The 17,848-nt window shown below is 37.5% G+C and overlaps 1 pseudogene across 1 annotated transcript in view; it reads left to right on the forward strand.

Annotated features, from left to right (window-relative positions):
- The window catches only part of CNTNAP3P2 (CNTNAP3 pseudogene 2), a 237,697-nt pseudogene that overhangs the window by 184,206 nt on the left and 35,643 nt on the right, over positions 1-17,848 (forward strand). Inside the window, exons 14-15 of the transcript NR_111893.2 lie at positions 5,436-5,592; positions 14,366-14,493. The product of NR_111893.2 is annotated as a CNTNAP3 pseudogene 2 (transcript). The remainder of the gene's footprint in view (positions 1-5,435; positions 5,593-14,365; positions 14,494-17,848) is intronic.

Below are 17,848 nucleotides of genomic sequence, written 5' to 3' on the forward strand. Positions count from 1 at the left end.
CCTGCTTGGTGTTTGCTGAGATTCCTGAACCTATGGTTTCATGTCTGTCATTAATTTTGAAACATTCTCAACTGTCATTATTTTAAATATTTCTTCTGGTTCTCACTCTCTTCCTTCTACTTCTGGTATTCCGATTATGGGTTACATAGGTTACACCGTTTGAAATTATCCAACAGGGCCGGGCGCGGTGACTCACTTGCCTGTAATCCCAGCACTTTGGGAGGCCGAGGCGGGCGGATCACAAGTTCAGGAGATCCAGACCATCCTGGCTACCACGGGGAAACCACGCCTCTACTAAAAATACAAAAAATTAGCTGGGCGTGGTGGCAGGCGCCTGTAGTCCCAGCTACTCGGGAGGCTGAGGCAGGAGAATGGCGTGAACCCAGGAGGCGGAGCTTGCAGTGAGCCGAGATTGCACCACTGCACTCCAGCCTGGGCGACAGAGAGAGACTCCATCTCAAAAAAAAAAAAAAAAAAATTATTGTCCAACAGTTTGGATATTATGTTTCATTTTTCATTCTTTTTCTCTTTGTTTTTAATGGAAAATTTTCATTGACATATCTTCAAACTCACTGATTCTTTCCTCAGCACTTCCCAGTCTTCCCAGACTTTGATGAGGCCATCAAAGACATTCTACAATTTTTACTTTTAATCTCTGTATTTCCTTCTGATTTTGAGATTTCATATCTTTGTTTATAGTACCTATCTCTCCTTGCATGTTGCCCACTTTTTCAACATAGAGCCTTTAGCATATTGATTATTATTTCAAATTCCTTATCTGATATTTCCAAATCTGTCACATCTGCATGTTTGCTTGATTCGTCTCATAAGACTGTATTGTTTGGCTTTAGCATACCTTGCAATTTTCTGTTGAAAGCCAGACATGTTGTATTGGCAAAGGAACTGAGGTAAGGAAGCCTTTAATGTAAGGTTTTATGTTTATCTAGTTAGTAGTTAGGCTGAATTTGCTCTTTGCATAACTGTGGTGTCAGAGGCCAAAATTTCCTCTAAGGTTATTTTATTTTTCTTTCTTCCGTTTTGAGTTTTCCCAGAGACTCTGTCTTAAATAGGGTCTAAAATTCACAGCTCTTTCATTTTTAATCTCCTGTTACTATACAGGTAATGTACTGATCTGATTGATGATAAGGTGCGGGGAGAGGAGAAGCATCCTATACTCTTTTTTTTTTAATGTTTTTATTTTATTTTAATTTTTTTGAGAGAGTCTCGCTCTGTAGCCCAGGCTGGAGTGCAGTGGCGCCATCTCAGCTCACTGCAAGCTCCGTCTCCCGGGTTCACGCCATCCTCCCGCCTCAGCCTCCTGAGTAGCTGGGACTACAGGCGCCCGCCACCACGCCCGGCTAATTTTTTTCTATTTTTAGTAGATACGGGGTTTCACCATGTTAGCCAGGATGGTCTGGATCTCCTGACCTCGTGATCCGCCCGCCTCAGCCTCCCAAAATGCTGGGATTACAGGCTTGAGCCACCTCACCCGGCCCAATTTTTTGTATTTTTAGTAGAGATGGGGTTTCACCATGTTAGCCAGGATGGTCTTGATCTCCTGACCTCATGATCTGCCCGCCTCGGCCTCCCAAAGTGCTGAGATTACAGGCGTGAGCCACCGCGCCCGGCCAGAAGCATCCTGTACTCTTAGGATTAGGTCAGTCTTTTAGAGAACCTGTCTTCCTGGACTGTGACCTTCAGAGTGCTTCTCAGCTTCCTTCCCCTTCCCTTGGGTAAGAAAAGAAGGGTAGAGGGGGCTGGTTCTGGATATTTCCATTCCCCTAGGTGGTTTAGGCTCTAGTAAACTAGCTTTTCGGGGGATTAGAATGTTGTTAAGGAGAACATAATGTTCTGCGCTTATTTCAAAAATGTTTACTCCTTCCCTCCCCCTGCTGGAGACATAAGAGCATTTTTTTCCTATCTTTATTCTGAGAACTTGATGGGGCTCTTCCTGGAGATAAAACTCTTGAAGGTGTGTTGACCCTCTAAGGCGTATCCCCCACTCTAGGAGTTTTCAATCTCTGTAGCTTGTCCTTGCTCAGTATCCATCAATTAGTCAGTTACATTTTAAGTGCTTTTACCAGACTCCACCATCTGCTTTGGCTCCATTAGCCGTGATGCTGTTTTCAGTTGTCTCTGCAGCTTTAGGAGTAATGTTTGCCCTATGACTTTAACTGTGTAAGAAGAACTGTTTATTTTTAGTTAGTGCAGCTTTTTTCTTGTTGTGAGAATGGGAGCGATGACTTCCAGACTCTTAACGTCATATCAGATTGGAAACCAGAAGTCTCAATTTTTGCCTCATTTTTTTAAGGGTGTATTGTTTCTTGCATATGCATTTATGTCTTCCTGGTGATTTTTTTAAAAATCATTATGTAATGTCCCTGTTCTAGTATTTTTGTTCTGAAGTCTATTTTATGAGATAGCCATTCTGCTTTCTTTCAAATTTAATTTTTGCAGAGTGTATTTTTTCCATCCTTTTACTTTTAACCTGCCTATGTTTATTTTGAAGTGAGTTTCTTATAAATTTCTCGTTGTGTTATTTTTTTTTCAGTTGATTCTGCCAACATCTAACTTTTGTTATATTTTAACCATTTACATTTAAGGTAATTTTTATAATTTTCTTACTCGTTGCTTGGTATTATAGTGTACATATGTGACTTACCACAGTCAACTTAAATATCTTCACTCTCATAATGAAATATGGAATCCTTATGTCTATTTGGGTCCTTTATCTTCCCCACTTCTAAATATCATTGTCTTGAGTATCATATGGTATTACAGTTTTTGTGTCAATTATCATATGTCATTTCAAAAATTGATAAGGATAGTCTATTATATTTATCCATATTTCTTCTCTTTTCATTTTTTTCCTGATGTTCCAAGAATCCTTTGTTATAATTTCCTTTCTTTTTGAAAAACCTCCTTTAGCCATTCTTTAGGGAATGTCTGCTAGCGACAAATTATTTTAGTTTTCTTTTGTGTTAAAAAGGTTTTTTGTTGTTGTTATTGTTTTGGAGATGGAGTCTCACTCTGTCGCCCAGGTTGGAGTGCAGTGGCACAATCTCGGCTCACTGCAGGCTCCGCCTCCCGGGTTCACGCCATTCTCCTGCCTCAGCCTCCTGAGTAGCTGGGACTACAGGCTCCCGCCGCTACGCTCGTCTATTTTTTGTATTTTTAGTAGAGACGGGGTTTCACCGTGTTAGCCAGGATGGTCTCGATCTGACCTCGTGATCCGCCCACCTCGGCCTCCGAAAGTCCTGGGATTACAGGCGTGAGCCACCGCACCCGGCCTAAAAAGATTTTATTTCCATTTTATTCTTGAAGGATAGTTTCTCTGGGTATATAATTTATAGTTGACAATTTTTTTTCTATCAGCCCTGAAAAAAAATATGCCATTCCTTCTGGTTCTGTAATTTCAGATGAGTAATCTACTATCATTCAAATTAGGGTTCTTTTACAGGCAGGTAATGTGTTATTCTCTCAGGCTGCTTTCAAGATTTGTTTTGTTTTGTTTCCAAAAAGTTCAATTATGATGGATCTTGGTGTCGATATTTTTGGGTTTATCCTTTTTTGGACTTAAACTTAACTTCCTAAATCTGTGGGTTTGTATCTTTCACCACATGTGGGAAGTTTACAGCCAGTATTTTTTCAGTACTCTTTCAGCACACTTTGTTCTCTCTTTTTGAGATTCGGATGATATTGTCTGATAGGACCCTATGGCTCAGTTCTTTTTATATTCAGTCTGTTCTCTCTTTTTTGGTCAGGTTAGATAAAGCCTATTGATGGGCCCTCAAGTTCAGTGATTCTGTCCTGTGTTTTTTCACTCTATTCTTGAGCCCATTCAGAGTTTTTTAAAACGTTATGTTATTGTATCTTCCAGTCCTGGGGTCCTAAGCTTCCTCTTTCTACCTTTCAGAATTCTCTTCGGTTGTCTTCTGTATTATTTCCAGAATCTATCATTATACTTGGTGGAAATAGCAGGGATAGACAAGTCTACAAGATCTTTTATCAGTCTAGAAGTTCACCCACTTACATCTTTTTGTTACTGTTTCTAAAAAAATACATTTTTACTACTTTATGGGGAATATGGGAGATTTAGATGTAAATTTATACTTGTACATTAGGATATAATGAGTGTTTTGCTCTTTAATCTGCGACAGTTTAATGGTGAAGTCGGTAACTTTTAAAGTGGCATTCCGAGAAGAGTGTATTAATTTTTAAAAATATCTTTTACGTTGTAGTAACAAGCTTTTAGCACATTTTTAAAAGATTCCTGGTACTAATCCCTCTTTAAATTTTCCCAGATTGCCTTTTTTGTTGTTGTTTTTTTTGTTTTTTGGCAGAGGGGCAGGTGATGGATAGTGGTGGTGGTAATGAATGCAGAGATCTTATCTATGAATGAGTTATAATTGAGTTGTAATAAGCAGTAAGGTAGAAGCTAAGTTCCAGATCTCGATTCATATTCCAATGGTAACAAGCTATTGAAATTTGAAAAACAGCACCACATGATCAAGCATGTTTAAAAAACTGGTTGAGTTAATCCAATTTCATTTTCCTCATGGCCTAATCTGTGATGACTGCAACTTGTGGCCTCTGACCCCTTTCCTTTTTTAAGATAGGTGGCCTGACACCTGCTTTTTAAATTATCCTAACTTTACTGTGATGTGCTGTCAGTCCATCACCCCAATCTTCACTCCCAACCCCTGGCAGCATCCCTTGTCCTAATATGCAGTTCTATAGATCTGAGTTAGTGTCTGACTCTATCATTTAATCATTGTCAGTGCTGAGAAGGAGGCGCACTCCTCAGAGCTGTAGTTGACCCAGGGCACTTTGTTTCTTTGCATGAGAAATCTCTAACCTCAGAGATGAGAAAAGCCTATCAATGTCATTCCTTAACCTCCAAATAAAGAGTCAGGACATCCAATGCAATAAAAACAAATACCTCCAAAAATTAGTAAGTACTGACAGAGAGTACGTGTATCTTTCCAAATGTGTAATATACAGGTAGTTAGCAAAAAGATGGGATGAGATAAATCAATGTCTTTGTATAATATTAAACTTTCTCAATGAACATTTCATAATTTCAAATAGATTTTATCTTTAGTGTGCAAATTACTCTGGTATTTATTTTAATGGTGAATTTTTTTGAATGTTATTTCTATAGAAAGTATGTATCACATGCAACTGACTGATTTCTAATAGAAGAAAAATAGATGGAATCATTTAAGCCTAGATATTGAAATATTGGGGGAAAAACATTGGTTAGGCTTAAAGAAACATTTCAGAGGTAAAATACAAGTGTTTAAGTATAGTTTCATTTTCTCTCTCTCTGCCTCTCACACATACACTTTACACCTGGGAGTAAAGGGAGCTATATGGGGAGGGTGATAGTGAGGGACAAAGTAGATGTCATCTTTCTTATACTTGTCTTTCAGATGGAACCCCACTGAGCTGGTGGGTTGGAAGAACCAATGAAACACACACTTCCTGGGGAGGTTCTCTGCCTGATGCTCAAAAGTGTACTTGTGGATTAGAGGGGAACTGCATTGATTCTCAGTATTACTGCAACTGTGATGCTGGCCGGAATGAATGGTGATTTCCACATGATTTCCCTGCACAAAAATGTGGTTTTTATTCTTTAATTATGCATAGTTAATTAAATGTCAGACAAGCTGGTACAATAAGGTAACTAGATTAAAGTATGTTCAAGCAAGCTGAAATACAAGTTTTGATGAAATATGATCAGTTAATCTAAGGATTAAATTTTATGACCAAAGATTTACTAATTCATTGTGAATACTATATAATGTGTTTTTTATTTTTCATAAAAGAGAAGCAGCTGTTAAGTTTTCCACTCACTGGAAATCAAATATCATTCTCTGCGAAGTTTAGTTAATTAATTAACGTAGTATTCATGTGGCAATTCAAAAAGCAAATTCCTCCAAATCTTTGTCTTAAATTGATTTGGGATATAATGCTGCATATTCTGTCTTTCTTTTAGAAATTAACATTAACACAAGAAACTCTGAGAGGTCCTGCATAAAAGGACTGTGTTTATTTTGTAGAAGCAACAATTTCCCACACTCATTGAAATCTTCAGTGCAATAGCAAAGCTTCAAGCACCAACTGTTCTGTAGACCATACTTTGAAACAACTAACATAGAATTTCCAGAATTTGAAAATTATTTTGTAAGCTTTCTTTTGAGCAGAAACAATTTTCTCATGTAGATTGCAATGCCTCTTTTTCAGAAGTTCTTTTTGAGGTTATTCTTGAAATGCATATTGGTTTTCTTTTTTTTTATTTGTAATATGTAAATGTTTTCAACCTTTGGGTTCATGTCAGCAACTTAAAAAGCATTGTCATAAAACAACTAGATCGTGTAGAGTACGTGCTTTAAAAAAAAACTTAGGCCAGGCACTGTGGCTCATGCCTGTAATCACAGCACTTTGGGAGGCCAAGGCAGGTGGATCACCTGAGGTCAGAAGGTTGAGACCAGCCTGGCCAATGTGGCGAAACCCCGTCTCCACTGAAAATACAAAAATTAGCCGGGTGTGGCTGTGTGTGCCTGTAGTCCCAGCTGCTCAGGAGGGTGAGACAGTAGAATTGCTTAACCCAGGAGGTAGAGGTTGCAGTGAGCCGAGATCGCGCCACTGCACTCCAGCCTGGGCGACAGAGCAAGACTCCACCTCAAAATAATAATAATAATAATTAATAAATAAAAAACGTAATGGTCAATCCAGGTGTCAGTATAATTGATTTGGACATAAAATAGCTAACCTAAGCAGTAATTTGATTCCTAAAAATTGAGTTGTTTGGCCTGCATGGTAGTCCACTTATTTATTTGGCATAAAAAGTCTACTTTGCATCACTTTAAAAAATATTGTGAAGTTGGGAAAACTCACTTGAATCTACTGGAGGTTTCTATAGAATACATACTATACATTTACATGGATATTATTTTTAATCTTCCTCAAGTTCAAAATTACAAAATGATCATACAGATTTATGAGACACTCTTTTTGAATATTTTGATATGCAATCTTAATACAACTTTCTCTTACTTAAAAATGAATGCAGTTTTAGTGCAGTGAGTAACAGGAACAGATCTGATCCATAGTTTCAAATCTGGCCACCAGTAAGTTTCAGGTCTGAAGTAATTTGCCGTCAGTTAAAATGGTTTTGTACCATATTTTGTATGATGTACATTTTAAAGTGTCTGGTATGATAATGTGATGATGTGTGTTAGCTTTGGGCTCTAATGAGACAAACAGCGACCTTCAAATCTTTTGACGGACATCTTTAACAATCCTGGAGGTTTTCATTTCCTCCATTCCACAAGGGGCTCCTGCCTGTGAGGGCTCCAGCCCTCCAGCTCCTGGCTGTTCAGAAGACCTCCAGCTCATTGGTCTGTCCCCACCCCCATTCTCTACAGGTCAGAAAGGAGAGCATTGGCAGGTTATTACAAGAAAGCCAGAATGGCATATATGCTAGTGGCTTTATAACTTAGTTCGAAGAATGTTAACCGTTTTGTTTTGTTTTTGTTTTGAGACAGAGTCTCTCTCTGTCGCCCAGGCTGGAATGCAGTGGTGCGATCTCAGCTCACTGCAACCTGCGCCTCCCGGATTCAAGTGATTCTCCTGCCTCAGCCTCCCGAGTAACTGAGATTACAGCCGAGTGCCACACCTGGCTAATTTTTGTATTTTTAGTAGAGACTGGGTTTCACTATTGGCCAGGCTGGTCAACTGTTTTTTTGTTACAGAACCTTCTGTTAGTATTAAGTGCATACTTTATTGTAGACTTCACGTATGCTTAGGGCAGTAACCAGAGGAACGTATCACTTGGAGCCACCTGTATTGAGTGACCCTCCCATGAACTGAGTTTGAGGAGGGGAATGGAAGGAACTGAGGTGGGTGCAGGTCCTCTGATACCCTTAGCCATGTCACTTCAGCACCGTCAAGGACTGCACTGGTGTGACAGAAGCCATGGGCTTTCATTTGGAAAAAAATTTAGGAGAGAAGCAGGTTTTAAAAATTAACTCCCCTCCTACATTCAGAAGGGAGCATTGTGGAGTCATTTGCTTTTTAACCTTATTTTATTTACTTTGCAGCTTCCAGTAGATAGGTCTATCCAACAGTAAGACCACAAGCATTCTGAAATCCTATCCCAACTCTTGTAGATTGTTTTGTAAATGTGGGGGTGTGTATGGGGGTGGGGGGGTGGGAAATTACAATTTCTATTTTAATTTTTCAAATAAAATTGATTTTTCAGTTTATAAAAATGGAATTTACCAGTCTCATGAAATGAAAAGATTTATAATTGTAATAATTTAGATTAAGGTATAGACATAAGAACATAAATCTTAGTCTTTATTACTTATTTTCTATTACTGAGGTGTGCCTAGTAAGGTTTTCCTGGTGGAAAGTTTATAATAAAAATAGTATTTGGGAATGAAAGTAAAGTGAAAGCTATTTTAAGTCTCTTCAGGCATATGTCCGTTAATGGGGCAGGCAGTATTGTTAATATAAACCATCGCCATTTTTCCATAAGTTGTCCCTGTAATCAGCAACTCGTCTAAGCATATTACTTAAAAAAAAGTTTATGATCAGACAGTTCCTCAGGCACAGTAAGAATATTCTATCAAATAACTATAACATGCCAAAGATTTATTATAAAAACAAATATATTTAAAAGGCACTATAATGATTTAAAATATTGAACTATGCTGCAAGTCAATATATGTGTATAAATGTATAGTGGACTATGTTCAAATAGACCAATATATTCTCTAAAATATACATATAACATATAATTCAGCTGTCTGCAAAAATCCACAAGTTGTTTTGCTAATATAATGATGACACATGTAACTGTAATATTATTTTACTTAAGAATTTAAATAGGACTTTTGTGTGATTACCTTAGAGTCTTTAAAAGTAACCACAAATAAAAAGCATAAAATAAGATGGTTTAAATGCATACAAGTGTACAAATAATCATAATAAATACGAGTAAACTCTGTTCATTTAAAAACCAGATATTAGATTTTATCATATTGGATTTTTAAAGAAGCTATAGCTTGTTTACAAAAGATAAAATATAAGCACTCGGTGAAGTTGAAACTAAAAGAATAGAAAATATTTACCACGTAAATACAAATCAAAAGAAAGCAGATATAGCTGTATTATGTCAGACAAAGATGAAAAGCATTGTTAGGGATAAACTTGAACTCTATCTAATGCTGAGATAAACTCACTAGAAAGATCTCACTACACTTGTGTGTATCATCAGATTGTTTAAAATATATAAAGAAGTGGCAGGGCGCCGTGGCTCACGCCTGTAATCCCAGCACTTTGGGAGGCCGAGGCGGGCAGATCACAAGGTCAGAAGATCGAGACCATCCTGGCTAACACAGGTGCAACCCCGTCTCTACTAAAAATACAAAAAATATTAGCCAGGCCTGGTGGTGGGCGCCTGTAGTCCCAGCTACTCGGGAGGCTGAGGCAGGAGAATGGCATGAACCTGGAAGGCAGAGCTTACAGTGAGCCAAGATCACACCACTGCACTCCAGCCTGGGCGACAGACCAAGACTCTGTCTCAAAAAAAAAAAAAAAAAAAAAAGTATGTGTGTGTGTGTATATATATATATGTGTGTGTGTATATATATGTGTGTGTATATATATGTGTGTGTGTGTATATATATATGTGTGTGTATATATATATATGTAACAAATATGCAAAGGCAAATTGACACCCAAAACAGTGGAATAATTAACATAACATTTTTGGGAATGAGTAAGTGAAGCAGGTAAGAATATTTTAATATTATAATTAACAAACTTGATATAGCAGCCATATATCGTTTAGTAAGGAAAAATTATTTCTTTATAGAATGTATTATACATTATTGTTGAATAAGTATAAAAAATTTTGTAAATGGATGGAATCTTAACAAATTTTACGGAATTGTCATGATGGAAACTATATTCTTAACTGTAATCAATAATGAATATATAATTTTTAAAAGCTCATGCATGTGTCAGTTAAAGACACAAGAGGAAATAAAATAGATGTAAGTGATAAAAAGTTTGGAAAAGAAACAAACCTGGCAGATATTGTAGATAATATGATTGCCTACATAGAAAATCCAAAATAATATAAAGAAATATCAGGAAAAATGAGAGTTCAGTAAGTTTGCTGAATTTATGGTCAGTCAGTATTGAGGAATTACTTGAATTTCTATAAAATCATAAAATACCATTACACACCTAGAAAAATTTTATTTGCAATATTAACAAAAATGTAAAGTTCTGTGGAATAACTGCAGTACTTTTATGGAAAAAATTACAAAACTTATTCAAGAGAATTAAGGACAGCCAAATAAATGGATTGACTCACTACTGTCGTGGATAGTATGACTCAGTATCTTAAAGCAGTAGTTCTCAATCGGGGGTGATTTCGACTCTTGGGACATTTGGCATTGTCTGAAGACATTTTTATCATCACAGAGAGAGGAAGGTTGTTTATATTAGTGTCTATTAATTAGAAATCAGGGTGCTGCTGAGCATCCTACAGTGCACAGGACAGCCCCCCCCATGACAAAAAAAAATTAGCCCAAAATATCAGTAACGCTGCTGTTGAGATACCCTCTTTTAAAGTTGACATTCTCCTCAAATTAGTCTGTAATTTTAACAAAATTCCAAAAAATGCCAAGTGTTTTTACTTGTGTGGATTGCAGCAACCTGGTTTTAAAATTCATATGGAAATTAAGGATGAAAGGATAAGCAAGATAATTTTTAAGATGAAAAATAAAGTGAAGAAACTAGTTCTGTTAGCTGTCAAAACATACTGTATTGCTGTAGTAATTAATGCAGGTTGAACTGGCCAGAAGATAGGCAATTAAACAGAAACTGAGAATCTAGAAATTTTTTAAGTGGGTTAGATGTGGATCATAATGATTTTATTATTGCTGACCTACTCCCCCAAAATAATCATTAACAGTTGGGCTGGGCGCGGTGGCTCACACTTGTTATCCCAGCACTTTGCGAGGCCAAGGCGGGCGGATCATGAAGTCAGAAGTTCGAGACCAGCCTGACCAACATGGTGAAACCCCGTCTATACTAAAAATACAAAAATTAGCTGAGCGTAGTGGCGCACGCATGTAATCCCAGCTACTCTGGAGGCTGAGGCAGGAGAATCGCTTGAATCCTGAGGGTGGAGGTTGCGGTGAGCAGAGATCACACCATTGCACTCCAGCCTGGGCGACAAGAGTGAGACTCTGTCTCGAAAAAAAAAAAAAAAAAAGTTAAAAAGTTGACTCAACATTTCTCCCTTTTAGCTTTCTTTGCAACCTCCCAAACTTATGGCTCTACTTTGCCTTAAATAAAGTTCCCTGGCAAATAATAAGTAGTAGCTTTTAGAAGTTTTCACACTTCCTAGGAAAGTACAATTTCCAGAACCGTAGGAATTTCTAATAAATAAAAATTTTAGTAAAATATAAAATAAAAGCAAAAAGTCTTTGAAAGTTCTCTTACTGAATTTTTAATACTGCTCCAAGAGATTATGGTACCTATGAAAGCACTATTTCCAAGTGTAGACTATAGTATAAGCTTTAGAAAATAATAGGGAGAAAAGAAAAATGAGATGTCCCTATTAATTAGGAAGTTTTGAGGAAGTCTGATAACTATTACAAATCCTGAGTATTCTATTTTGATTTCCAAAGGTTGGGAATCTGCCTGTAACAATAAGAAACTGGTGAAAAACACTGGCTATCTTTATGCTCAGAATGAAAACACCAGACTTTCCAAAACAATGAAAAAACAAGACTTTACTATAGTATCTGCCCTAATTAAACTGAAATGTGGATTTCATTTACACATTCTCAATATTTTGCACAGTCAGTATTGAAAATGGAATGAAACTTGGAGCTCCCGTGAAATAGATCTTTTAAAATACAAGCATCCTCCATAAATAATTAAATTGCATTTTCTCTACTAGACTATCTTGCTAAAATGATGATCACAGAAGTGGAAATGGTAATTTTTAATGGCTACCACATTAATAAAAAATTTCCTAGACCTACCTCATTCAGCAGGAGACATATTTCTAGCTTGTCTACCATCAATCCACTCTAAAGCTGAATGGTGATGCCTTTAGATAATCCATATTCTGTTCTTTGCATTAAAATGAATAACAGAATCTTAACTAGGTAAAGCAACAGGGTTTTAGTCTGAATTTTAGAAATAAGCTTTCTTTACCATTAAGTGTATTTTTTCAGGGAATAATCTTAAATAATATAGCCATTTTATTTTAGTTTTATATTTTCCAGTTTGAAAGTTTGATACCTAAAGTCTTTTATAAAAGAAGTTGATTAATGGGTACAAAAGTCGAGTTAAGTAAAAGAAATTCTAGTATTTGATAGAACTAGAGAAATTATAGTTAACAGTAATTTATTGGATATTTCAAAATAGCCAGAAGAGAATTGTAATGTTCCCACCACAGAGGATAACTGCTCAAAGTGATGGATATCCCAATTACCCTGATTTGATCATTATGCATTGTATTCTAGTATCAAAATAGCACATGTGCCCCCAGTATATGTACAACTCTGACATGCCAGTTTAATTTTTTTTAATTCAGAAAGCCTTATTCTGAAAATACATAAGTGTTGCAATGATGAAATATCAATTATTGTGATCTTTTGCCACAAATGCATACAAAAGAAGGTTTGAGAACTGGGCAATTTAAAACATACAGTATTTACTAGATACTGTGGAGTTTCTAACCGTAACTGGACTAAGAGTGTTTTGTCTGTAAATCAGAATATACATGCAGTTGAGACATATATGTAATAAAATATAACCAAAAGTATATAAATATAAGCATTTTATTATATATGCATATATGCAATATTATTGGCCAAATATTTATTACATATACAGTTACATACACATATATAATAAAATACTTTTGCAGCAGAGTAGACAAATGCCTTTATTTTGGCCAGAGACAAAATTAGTGGCATAGCTAAGACCAGGACCCCAGGTTCCCCTAGGGGATCCTCCAGGTCTCTTTGTATTGGACCCAGACGTGTGCATTTATTTTCCCAGTCACATAATTAATACTCATGGTATTCAACAGGCTGTGTGCTTTCAGAAGGCAGAGACTAAAATATATTTTTTACTCTGTGTCCTCAATTCCCAGGACAATGTCTGTTCGACAAAAGGTGAGCGCTGAGTGTTTGGGGTTTTTTGTTTGTTTTTTGTATTTTTTGAGACAGGGTCTCACTTTGCCACCCAGGCTGGAGTGCAGTGGTGCACACATGGCTCACTACAGCCTCTACCTCCCAGGCTCAAGGTATCCTCCCACCTCAGCCTCCCATGTAGCTGCTACAGGTGTGCACCATCACACCCAGCTAATTTTTGTATTTTTTGTAGAGACGGGGCCTCACTATGTTGCCCAGGCTGGTTTCGAACTCCAGAGCTCAAGCAATCTGCCCACCCCAGTCTTCTAAAGTGTTGGGATTACAGGCATGAGCCACTGTGCCCGGCCTGTGTTTGTTGCCTGAACTACTGGGAGCAGTGTTTCACAGACCACTTTCACACTCATTAGTCTATGTATTACTTATAAGGGTGTAGTATGTATTTGGTTTTGAATCTGTGGGACTCATTTTGCATTTACAAAGTTAACAAGGAAAGAAATACCCAGTAATCATAAAACGACTTTAAAAAATAATGATAAATTAATATTCTGCAAAATGAATATCTAAATCCAGTGTTACTATTTTTATTTGTAATGAATAATCACTTAGATATTATTCTAAGACAATTTTAGAAGGGAAGTTACCTTCTTGATTTTTCCCCTTCTCTGTAATCATTTAGATCAGGAATTGGCAAACGGGTCAGGAATTGATAACCTCTTGCTTTGGGTGAAATCCAGACCACTAGTCTATTTTTGCATGGCAGTGAGCTAAGAATGTTTTCTTTACATTTTTAAAAGGTTGAAAAATAAAAAGAATATTTCATGTCATATAAAACTTGTATGAAATTCAGATTTCATATCCATAAATTTTTATTGCAACCCAGCCATGCCTGTGTCTGTGGCTGCTTTCACACTTGGTGGCAGAGTTAAGTAGTTGCTGTGAGAAGCTGCATGGCCTGCATAGCTTACTGTATGGTCCTTTACACAAAATGTTTGCCCATCCCTGATTTAGATTCATGGTAGTCTCTGTGCTCTCAAAATATTGAAAATGTTAAGTATTCTGTTAAGCTCTATGATGTTGGTTTCAAATTGAGATAAGAGATCAGAGTTAATTTTGCCCGTATGTTAATCAGAATAATTTTAATGGTTTCGGTTGTTGTTCTTTAGGACTAGTGACACAATAGTCCTTTCCCAAAAGGAGCACCTCCCAGTCACTCAGATTGTGATGACAGACGCAGGCCAACCACATTCCGAAGCAGATTATACACTGGGGCCACTGCTCTGCCGCGGAGATAGTAAGTAGTGTCAAGAAAAAGCTTTATTTTCATAATAACTTTTTTTGGTTATAAAGGGGTAGACAAATGCCCTTGTTCTTGCCAGAAAGAGAATAGTGGCAGTACTAGGACTGGGGTGAATATCAGGAAAACACACATACCATAAAGGCACAGTCAGTACTGAAGATCTGTGTTTCCTTACTGAAGCATTAGTTTATAGAAAATGAATCATCTTTGTTTTAACTTATTACTTGCTTGGCTGGATTTATTATCAATTGATTGTATTTTTTCCAGAACAATCATGAGATGAACTATTTTCTGAATGCTAAGGGATATTTATTCATTGCCCTTATACTCTTCAGACAACTATAGTGGTAGGAAATTATTGGACACTCTCTATTTTCTGACCTCTGTACATACTGTTTTACATTACATGGCACCGAATGTGTATTAATCTCTTTCCTGCAGCATTTTCGTTCATGGGTGGCTTTCATGGTCAAGTCCTCGCTCCCCCACCTCAGTGGCACTATAAGCCCAGGGTTCTTAGAGGATCTACCTACTGGGTAGCACGGGAACCACAACTAAGCTAGTAAAAATCTTCTTTCCCTGAGAAAAATTGTAATAGTGTTTCTTACCCACTAGCATCATACATTGCCGTGGAGAAGTCTGAGACTAAATGTATTTTTATTTCCTGTTCTACCTCAATGTGTGGAGGCTACTTCTGAGAGGGATGGTTCAACAAGGAGCCTGAGCCTCTCTGTACATTCTTGCCGAGTGTGCCAGATGGTGTGGTGTCTCCATCCCCTAATACCAAGCAGTTTCTGTAGCCAATCGTGTAGGCAGCTAAGTAGTTCAAAGAGAACACAACATCACTATCGACGCGTACTCACTCCCCAGAGAGGGCGGGGACCGGCTTGTCTCCTGCTTGATGAAGGAGTCCCGGACCCTTGTCTGGGGGCTCCTCATCTGAGATGCAAACCTACCCACTGTGTGTGTAGCATCCACCTGGGCCAATGGATTGTGTTGCCCTGTGAAATTTGGAGATAAGGGGAACCAATGCAAATATTCTGACACTCATGCTGCATGCTGTGCTGTGAGCAATAAAGTTCTTTAACTCTGACCCGGAAATTTTGTGTTTTCTATCAGCATCCATTAATCTGTGGCAAGCTAAATTGTTAGCTTGCAAGTAGGGTGAAATCTCAGACTCTTCACAGCTCTTGACAGATATGTTATCCTTCAATTTCAAAAACTTATCCAGAATATGCCTTAGCGTTAATTATTCTGTTAATTTTTTCTAAAATGAAATATGCTTATTTTGACCGAAATATTCTGTTCTCTTTTAAGAAAAAATGGTTTTTATTATGCTTTGAATACTTTGTTTCATTTGTTGGATTCTCTGCATCTAGGACTGTTGACTTGTTTCCTTTGCCCCCCATACATTTTTTCTGTTTCTTCCAATGGCTTTAATCTCTTTGTCCTTCTCCTATGCATTCAATATGATTATTCTAAGCTTTTCCCAATGTCAGTAATTTGTTATCAGCTGTGTTCTCCATTTCCAGATATTTCCGATTTCTCTGTTACCTCTGTGATTTTGTTTGGGTCTTTGATTTTTTTTTCCTTAAAAATCATCTTTTCTGTTTATCTCATATTTTAGCTCTTATTTTACTGAATTGGTTTTTATATTATTCCCATAGTGTGAAACTCTTATGAAATTTTTCTTTCCTTGTGTTCTCTCTTAATTTCCTTCCTCCATCCCATTCAGATGGCTCCTTCCTTCCTTCCTCCCTCCCTCCCTCCCTCTTTCTCTCCCTCCCTTCCTCCCTCCCATTCAGTCTGGCTTTTATACTCCTTCCTTCCTTCCTTCCTTCCTTCCTTCCTTCCTTCCCCACTCCCTCCCTCCCTCTCTTCTTTCTTTCTCTCTCTTTCTTTTCTTTCTTTTTCTTTCTTTCTTTCCTGTCTTCTTTTTTTCTTTCTCAGTATGTTTGCACTGTTTCTGTGCTTTTTGAAACATTGTTTATACTTGTAGTGTAAGTCTACACTACAGGTCTGTCTGGCAGGTCTGTCCAGACATTTAATTCATTTATATGGAATGGAGTTGAATTCTTCTCGACATTCATCTCTTCACAATCAGACACATACTTCTTGTCCCTTCTGAACTGCAATAGCAGGACTAGAGTTGGTCATCCTATCAATATTTTTTCCCATAATCTAAGAGCTCAAGGGAGGGATCTGTTGAATTGTATCTGATTTACTGGCCATTCTCTGTGCTGTTTTATCTTCAAGAATTATTAAATGTCCTGTGCCAGGCATCACACTGAAGCATGGAGGGTATATCTGCAGGCTTCAGATGCCTCCCACAGTTCAGTAATAACCCCTGGAAATTTGTAGCCTTTTCCCCTGCCTATTGATACTCTGACATCAAACACTGGTTTCTAGGTACTCTGTACTTCTCAGAAACATTTTCTAGATTATTTTCTCTCTGGAAATTTACCTCAGCCCTTCATTTCTCTCCAAATGTGGCTGTATTTGTGAGACTCTTCAGGATATGTCATTCACCTTCAGTTTATATCTTACTTTCAGCAAGACTTCTGAAAGTATGGAGAAGAGAAAGTGTGATATTTGAAATATTCCCTTCTCTTTTTGGGAGACTGAGATGGGAGGATGGCTTGAGCCTAGGAGTTCAACACAAGCCCGGACAAGATGGTAAGACCTTGTCTCTTACAAAAAAACTAAAAATTAGCTGGGCATGGTGGCCTGTAGTCCCAGCAACTAGGAAGGCTTAGGTGAGATGATCTCTTGAGCCCAGGAATGTGAGGTGGCAGTGAACTATGATCATGCCACTGCACTCCAGCCTGGGTGACAAAGTGAGACCTCATCTCTAAAATAAATAAATAAATTGATTAATGAAGAAAGAAAGAAAAATAAAATATTATCTTCTGTAAAACTTGTAGCTTCCTCTTCGTTTCTCTTTTCCTTTCCTTCATCTCTGTTTTCTTTAACATAACACTTATTGATTCTTTTCCCTTCTTTTGGGGCAGCTGGGACTAGGGGATCTGCAGGGATAGGGTCAAGGAATGACCACTGGGTTAGAAGCTTGGTTCCACACTGGGGAATGAGCAAATCTGTAAATACAGTAAGGAGAGTAGGAGTGACCTCACTGAGGAAAGAGTTATACATGTGGGAAGGAGGAAGACTGTAATGAACCCTGTGGTGCTGGGTTAAAAACGGAGGTATCCACATGAACTCATGGATTTTAATATACATAATAGATAACTGTAGAATACACATAGAAGAGAGAGACTGCGTGTGTGTATGTGTGTGTGTGAGAGAGAGAGAGAGATACAAATACACATATTTCCTAGCTGACTACTGAGAG

Source organism: Homo sapiens, chromosome 9 (genome assembly GCF_000001405.40).
Source record: "Homo sapiens chromosome 9, GRCh38.p14 Primary Assembly".
Classification (NCBI taxonomy): domain Eukaryota; kingdom Metazoa; phylum Chordata; class Mammalia; order Primates; family Hominidae; genus Homo; species Homo sapiens.